The following is an 8,134-nucleotide window of genomic DNA, read 5'->3' as shown; positions in this document are numbered from 1 at the left end:
CAAGTAAGAATTTTGTAATAGGAAAATTAATATGAAAGGGACACAAAAATGGTTTGTGTGAAGTAGTTTGTCACACAAGGACACAAGGGCCTCGGTTCATTTGACAACCACATCACTCTCCAACTATTCCAACCTTCAGCCTGTGGGGGAAAGTATACTTATCATCTTTATTTCCTCATCAATCCTTGGACACGTTAACCTGAAGACTTCCAGTCTCGGTGCAGAGAAGACATCCCCACTCAGCACAGCTAAGTAAATACAGTTGGATTAACTAGGCCAACATTTATTTGTCTAATTATGCTATAAAATACTTTTTATTACAAAGCATTGGTGGAGCATCATACATATTTACGAGACTTAATTTTTATTTAAGCTTTCTTTTTTTTACCATTCAGTATGATTTTCGAGTTTTTGAACGATGCGATAAGTTGAGAAAAAAAGAAGTAAATGTTGGAGAGGTTAAGAAAAAGTGATTAATATTTAAAGATATTATATTCTCAGACAAAATCTCCAAGATTAATTGAAAACATATTACTAATAAAAATGGACAGTAAGGTAGCCAAATATAATAAAAATTAGATTTCATTATTAAAATTAATGACAAGTTATAAAATGTAATATTTAGAACATGCAAAATAGCAACCAAAGCTATGAAATACCTTGAAGCAAACTAAGTTGGGCATATATTGTAAGTCTCATAAAAAATAAAGTTTTCCTGGAGGGCATAAAATATGACCCAAATCACTGAAAAAATATTACCTTCCTTGATAGGATAACTAAAAATTGTAAAGGTGTCAGTTTCCCCACAAATCCTCTCATAACCATGGTGCCACTCAGATCAAAAACCTAATGTACATTTAAAAAAACTTGACAATTTTATAATAACTTGTAACTGGAAGAATAAATGCACGAAAATAGGAAAGAAAATTGTGAATAAAAATAATGAGAAAGGACTTGCTCTTCCAAATATCAAAATTTAATGTATAGTTATAGTAATTAAAACAGCATGTTATAGATATGAAGATAAACATATCAATCATTAGAAAATGATAGAAATTTCAGAGATCCATCCATGTTAGTAGGACTGTGTATTTCATAAAGATTACATTTTTAAGTAGAGAAGGAAAGATGGATTATTCAATAATTGATTTGGCATTTGGAAATCAAATTAAGAATCACCCACAACCTCTGAAGGAACATCAGACACAAAAATACACCTAGTAGATTAGATGTTTAAATGGGGTGGGGAGGTACTGACAAAAGCCTTGGAGAATATTTTTATAATGTAGTTGTAGGCACGACTTGTTAAAGCATGATAGGAAGGTCAGAAATAAAGAAAGGGAAAACTGAGAGATTGAGCTAAATAAAAATGTTTAACTTCTATTTTAAGACAAGCCATAAACTAGGAAAATATTTGCAAGGTATACTTCAGATGCAGAGTTCATGTGCATGCTATAGAAAAAATTCCTACAAATCAATTTTAAATATTTCTATTTTTTAAAAAAGTGTCAAAGAACCTGAGCAAGCTTGGAAAGAAAAGGAAAAAACACAAAAGTAAGAAGTTTGAAGTCAACTATTAAAATAAATTATCCTCTTGTTAGCAGAAGAATGCAAATTTTTGAAGACATTAGATTTTCTATCAGATTTGCAAACAACTTTTTAAAGATTTAGTTGACAAGTCTGTAAAAAAATAAAATAATCAGATTCATCATTTGACTGTATAACTAATATTTTCCAGCCTTTCTTTGCGATAGTTACTTAAGAGCGGTTTGCTTTTATAAACCCACCCACTCAAAAACGGAGTTAATTTAATGTACCTACCTGCAGAAACTAATGTAACCAAGATAAAAATTTCCTTTGGAATTCAAAATATACAAATCATTTTGAAGTTTCTAGCTTTTGCTGAGCTAGTCCCTGAACTGTTTGGGTTATGCTTCTGCAGTGGGATAAATACTGAGATGTAGAGAAAACATTTGTAAACCCTCATAGGAATTTGAGAGAGTAATTTGATGTCTATTGAATCTAATAATCAATGATTGCAGCTAAGATTTTAAAATTCCATTTCTTTTTAATAATTCTTTTTTTTTTTTTGAGATGGAGTCTTGCTCTGTTGCCCAGGCTGGAGTGCAGTGGCACAATCTCAGCTCACTGCAAGCTCCGCCTCCTGGGTTCACACCATTCTCCTGCCTCAGCCTCCTGAGTAGCTGGGACTACAGGTGCCTGCCACCAAGCCCAGTTAATTTTTTGTATTTTTAGGAGAGACAGGGTTTCACCGTGTTAGCCAGCATGGTCTCGATCTCCTGACCTCGTGATCCACCCGCCTCGGCCTCCCAAAGTGCTGGGATCACAGGTGTGAGCCACCACACCTAGCCCATTTTTGTGTTTTACAAAAGAAGTATCACTTTCCTTTCTCTTTTTCTCACTGCAACTTTCTTTTCCTTCACATCTTCCCTTCACATTTTCTATTCCCTGACCATTAGTTTCTCCTCCCCTTCCCTCCCTTCCCCTGAACAGAGGAACCAGCATAGCAGACGGGAGACATGGAATGCTGAAGAGGAACACAGCCACGCTGAGGCCAGGAAAGGCAGGGTAGGCGGCCATGCTGGCTGGGGGAGGAGAACACCTGCAGAGTTGAGTCTGGTTACGTTAAACAAGAAAGCGTAATGATTAAGCAAAAACAGGAATTGTATCAAAAAATAAGGAAGGCAAGCCTCTTATTGTCAAGAGAGGTTATTTCCAATCATGGGAAAGAGAAAGAAAAGCAGAACTCTGTTCCGTTGAATTGAAATTGGGAATGTCAGTATGAACTAATATTTTTCTAATAAATGTATATACAGATGAAGAAATAGTGATATATAAATAGACATTGTACATATATGTGCATATGATTATATGTGTATATTATGCATATGTATTATATATAACATGCATATGTATTTCACAAAATACATTATTATATATAATATAGAAATTATACAATTGTGTGTATATATGTATATGTATTGCATGTAATTAAATGCGTAAGTATTTTATGTAATTATATACTTTTTTTTGAGACAGGGTCTCATTGTCACTTAGGCTGGAGTGCAGTGGCATGATCATGGCTCACTGTAGCCTTGACCTCCTAGGTTCAAACAATCCTCCTGCCTCAGCCTCCCTAGTAACTGGGATCACAGGCCTGCACCACCATGCCCAGATAATTTTTTTTTACTTTTGTAGAGGCAAGATCTTGCCATGTTGCCCAGCCTGGTTTCAAACTCTTGGCCTCAAGCAATCCTCCTGCCTTAGGCTCTCAAAGTATTGGAATTACAGGTGTGAGACACTATGCCCAGCCTATGCATATGTTTTATTATATGTGCATTGTAAATATGTATTATACATTATATATTTATATATTACATTATATGTTATATATATTTATATATTATTTTATGTTGTATATTATATGTACAAATATATATTACATGTATAATATTTCCTAGCTCTGTCCACTAAAAGAATGTGTTACTAGTAACAGTGTGCTGCCCAGCTGAATTTTTTTCTATCTGGAAAATAATGATGCTGAAATATTTGCTTAGCTGGAAGAGATTCTCACTGACTGGATGGTTGAGCCCAAGCTCCCACCACATCAGGGATTCTGGAGAATTTTGAATGCTCACATTCACCTCGCTTGGAGGCTTCATCAGGTCAGGACATTTGAGGTGGAAAAGGTATGGAAATTTACCAAGAAGCATCGTTGGAAAGACTTGGGACTAGAGAACAGGATCTAGAGACAGCACTGAGGCAGGAATATGAAGAGCAGGAGACAGTGACAACACTTAGCTGGCCACAGGTCACTGGGCAGGAGTTTATTAAAATGAGACTGCTACTAGTGAGACAACCGCAGCATGATCCTGGGTGACAGAACGCATTCACTCACACGCTGTGAGAGGCGGGATGACAGGGCACCCTCTGCAATCACAGATGCAAGATTCTTGGTTTTAAACATTTGCTGTATTCAACATCTTTTGTTTGGTGTCCATTTACTCCTCCTAAACTCTCTTGCTGGCTTCTAGTACTATTTCTTCTTGCTCTGTACCAAAGGGGTCTACTTTGTATCAACAGGGCTGCAGAGTAGGGATAGAGAGGATATTATGTCAGGTAGACTCCAGGAAGCAATTTCACAACAGGAGAAAAGGTTCAATAACCCTGGATCAGGATGCTTCAAAGCAGGCAAGGCAAAAATGTCTACGGCAGTCAGAGAGCTAAGGAAAGCTTCAGAAAGCTCATTTCTATGAGAAGCGTTGAAAATCTTTGAAGATATTTCTCTCTCTTACTCAGGGTTTGCTATTAGGTTATGTTCCTTGAACAGGTCTTTTGAAAACATTCAAGAATTTTCCCTGTCCAGGCATTGCTCAACTCTAAAGGTAAGTGATCTCTGTGTTATATAAGCCCAGGAACTTTCTTCTCTGGGCAAGCTCTGGGCTCTGCCTGCACGTTCTGCTGGGTTAGATTTCAGGGTGAGAAATGTAACTCTCAGCCTCCTGAAGAAACCTTATCTCTGGGCCACTCACTTCCAACGAAGGAGAAAGATCCCTGGCCAGAATACAGGCCCACTTGCAACACTCAGGAGAGGTCAGAACACAGGTTAGTTCTAATGAACTAGTGTTTTTTCTGAGTTGGATTTTATTTATTTATTTATTTATTTATTTATTTATTTATTTATTTTTGAGGCAGAGTCTTGCTCTGTGGCCCAGGCTGGAATGCAATGGCACAATCTCAGCTCACTGCAACCTCTGCCTCCCAGGTTCAAGCGACTCTCCTACCTAAGCCTCCTGAGTAGCTGGGAATACAGGCACCCACCATCATGCCTGGCTAGTTTTTGTATTTTTGTAGAGATGGGCTTTCACCATGTTGGCCAGGCTGGTCTTGAACTCCTGACCTCAGGTGATCCACCTGCCTCAGCCTCCCAAAATGCTGGATTACAGGTGTGAGCCACCGCATCTGGCCTCTAAGTTGGATTTTAAAAAACATATAATATCAGGAAAAAGTATTCACAAATTTTCTGTTCATTGGAACTTTTAGGACTTATATTCCTGTGAAAGGAAAGTGTTTTAGAACTTTCAGGCTATGATAACAACATATAAATTAGGCTGGGTAATTTATAAACAACAGAAATTTATTGCTGAGAGTTCTGCAGGCTGGGAAGTCCAAGATGGAGACACCATCAAAGTCAGTTTCTGGTGAGGTCTCCGTTCCTCATGGAGTGTGCTGCTTGCAAGTCCTCACATGGATGAAGGGCAAGGCAACTGCCTTCAACCTCTTTTATAAGTGCACTAAGCTCACTCATGAGAGTGGAAACTTCAAGATCTAATCAACTCATTAATGCTTCACCTCTCAACGGGATCACATTGAGGATTAAGTTTCATCATATGAATTGGGGTCGGGGAAGGTAGCAAATGTTCAGACCACAGCACGGAGTAGGGCATAGATTGTGTTTTGCCATATTTCTGGATGAAGCTTCTAGTTACCAAAACTATGACTCCCCAGAATGTATTATTGCATCTTCAGGACATAGTTGATGTCTGAGAATGTTTTTGATAGGATAGTAAAACCCCTTTTTATATGGCTTATACTTCTTGATAAGCCATGTAAATATGATAGTTGGTTACAGTGCACATAATTCATTTCCATTGTAAAATATAAGTTCAAAATGATCTACTTTACAGATTAAATCTAGTTTCCACGTATGACATGTAGTTTCAGCGAGTGAATGCAGGAGTGGTTTGTAGGATTCCTTGACTTTTCTCTAACACAGGCCTAAATAGTGGTTATGAATGCCAGACTCTTTCTTCCCTCCTTCCTTCCTTTCTTTCTCTCTCTCTTTCTCGTTCTTTTCTCTCTCTTTCTTTCTCTTTCTCTCTCTCTCTTCTTTCTTTCCTTCCTTTCTTCCTTCCTTTCCTTTCTTTCTTCCTTCCTTTCCTTGCTTTCTTCCTTCCTTTTCTTCCTTCCCTTTTTCCTTCCTTCCTTCCTTCCTTCCCTCCCTCCCTCCCTTTCTTGATGTGGCTCTGTCCCCCAGGCTGGAGTGCAGCAGTGTCATCCTAGATCACTGCAACCTCAACCTCCTGGGCTCAAGCAAACCTCCCACCTCTCAGCCTTCTAAATTGCTGGGACTACAGGCACACCCACCACACCTGGCTAGTTTTTGTATTTCTTTTTTTTTTTTTTTTTTTTTTTTTTGAGACAGAGTCTCGCTCTGTCGCCCAGGCTGGAGTGCAGTGGCGCGATCTCGGCTCACTGCAAGCTCCGCCTCCCGGGTTCACGCCATTCTCCTGCCTCAGCCTCCCGAGTAGCTGGGACTACAGGCGCCCACCACCACGCCCGGCTAATTTTTTGTATTTTTAGTAGAGACGGGGTTTCACCGTGTTAGCCAGGATGGTCTCGATCTCCTGACCTCGTGATCCGCCCGCCTCGGCCTCCCAAAGTGCTGGGATTACAGGTGTGTGCCAACTCACCTGGCCTGTGAGACCCTTTTCTAAGGACTTTATTAGCACAATTTAGTTAATCGTCATCCCAATCCTTTGAAGTAGGCACTATTATTGTCTCTATTTGAAGCTTCACACTGGTTGGCTCAATCTGATTTTCTTTTTTTTTTCCTCCCTAGGAACTTATTTGAAATTTAATGGGGAAAGGCAATGAATTGGGAAGAGAGTCACAAGAGAAAGAAACATAGTCCTTTGCTAATATGGCTTTTCTTTAAACTCTGCATAAAATTTTAGCTTAATAAATTAGCTGCTCCATAGTTTTGACCACTTAATTTCTTTGAATCATATTCTTTTGGTTTTTATAGACCCATAACAGATTTGCCTGTATTTTGAATTCAGGCATTATGAATACTGCCTGTGAATAAATTATCAATTTAAACCAAAAAGGAAAAAAAAAGATGGAACAAATGTCCAGTTTGAATTGCCACAGAACAATTAGTTCTCCCAAAGGATAAAGCAAATTGAAACATGTTGATGTGAACTGTAAACGATGTCACCTTTGCCCACAATTCCCTTACAACAACCCAAGAGGAAGAGAATACAGCAGGAAATATCTATGCTCAACAGCTTGCTAGCTAATTTCATCATTTTTGTAAAAGCAGAGTGAAAGAAAACATGAACATTCACTCTGTGGAAGAGCCCAAGAAATCTTGACAGGTGGCTGAAGAAGAAAACTTACTTATTTACAATTATTCAGGAGCTCAGAGATTATGGGGAGATTTACAAAGCAGCATAAAAATGGGCACTTGAAGATAAGCAAATCTAATAAATGGCATTGCAAATATCCCTAAATGGATCTAAATAATCTAAAATTGGTAGGTGAGTGACCTCAGCATATTAAAGGATTCATAGAACATCCTCATTTGACACAGAAGGAATCTTCTTATTGTGTTATCTGAATCATACAGGACAGACATCAAGTAGTAATATTATTGCACCCAATAAAATGTTCAAACAAATTGGTAAACTGGAGGCCTTCTGAAACAAGAGTTTCTTTTCTATGTAATTTAGGAGAAGAGGGCCTAGAGATAGGAGATGGGTAAAAGAAGTTAAAATACTAAGGAAGTTACCATTGTCCAATCAGTCACTTTTAATAGCTTTAACTATTCAATAATTCATTTGTTTACTTACAAATAAGATACTTATTAAGGATCCACTATGTACAAGTCCTTGTTTTTTAGTGAATTTCAAACTGAGAGAGATAGAATACAGAATACAAAAATTATTAGATAGGTAATCATACAACCTTCTTAATTACATTGTTCAGTCTCCCTAAAGGGGAAGAAAACTTGTTAGATTTGATTCTTTTCAATAATATCACTTAGCAAGAGAAAATGATATAGTATGTTATTTATCATCTTCAGAAAAAAACACTTCTTTTACGAATCAAATCATCCAGTATATAGAGATCTTCCTTTTAGAGAAAGTATTTCTTTACTTGGACAATCTTTTTATTCAAAAATTGTTTTTATTCAAGATTTCTATCTTAATGAACACTACAGGGCACTGCCAGATTGATAATATCTTGTTCATCACCAAATCAAAATTAAATTCTGTCCTTTTTTTTTTTTTTTTTTTTTTTTTAGACAGAGTCTCACTCTGTCATCCAG

At 37.5% G+C, this 8,134-nt stretch overlaps 1 annotated feature.

Annotated features, from left to right (window-relative positions):
- Nucleotides 3,909-4,109: a silencer, noted in NCBI's record as "peak2433 fragment used in MPRA reporter construct". NCBI's record gives its function as "represses an SCP1 promoter by STARR-seq MPRAs in K562 erythroleukemia cells {active_cell/tissue: K562}" and the evidence as "EXISTENCE:reporter gene assay evidence [ECO:0000049][PMID:32103011]".

The sequence above is a fragment of the Homo sapiens genome, chromosome 15 (assembly GCF_000001405.40).
Source record: "Homo sapiens chromosome 15, GRCh38.p14 Primary Assembly".
NCBI lineage: Eukaryota > Metazoa > Chordata > Mammalia > Primates > Hominidae > Homo > Homo sapiens.
The sequence above is the reverse complement of the archived record's forward strand: the minus strand, read 5'-3'. Positions and strand labels throughout refer to the sequence as shown.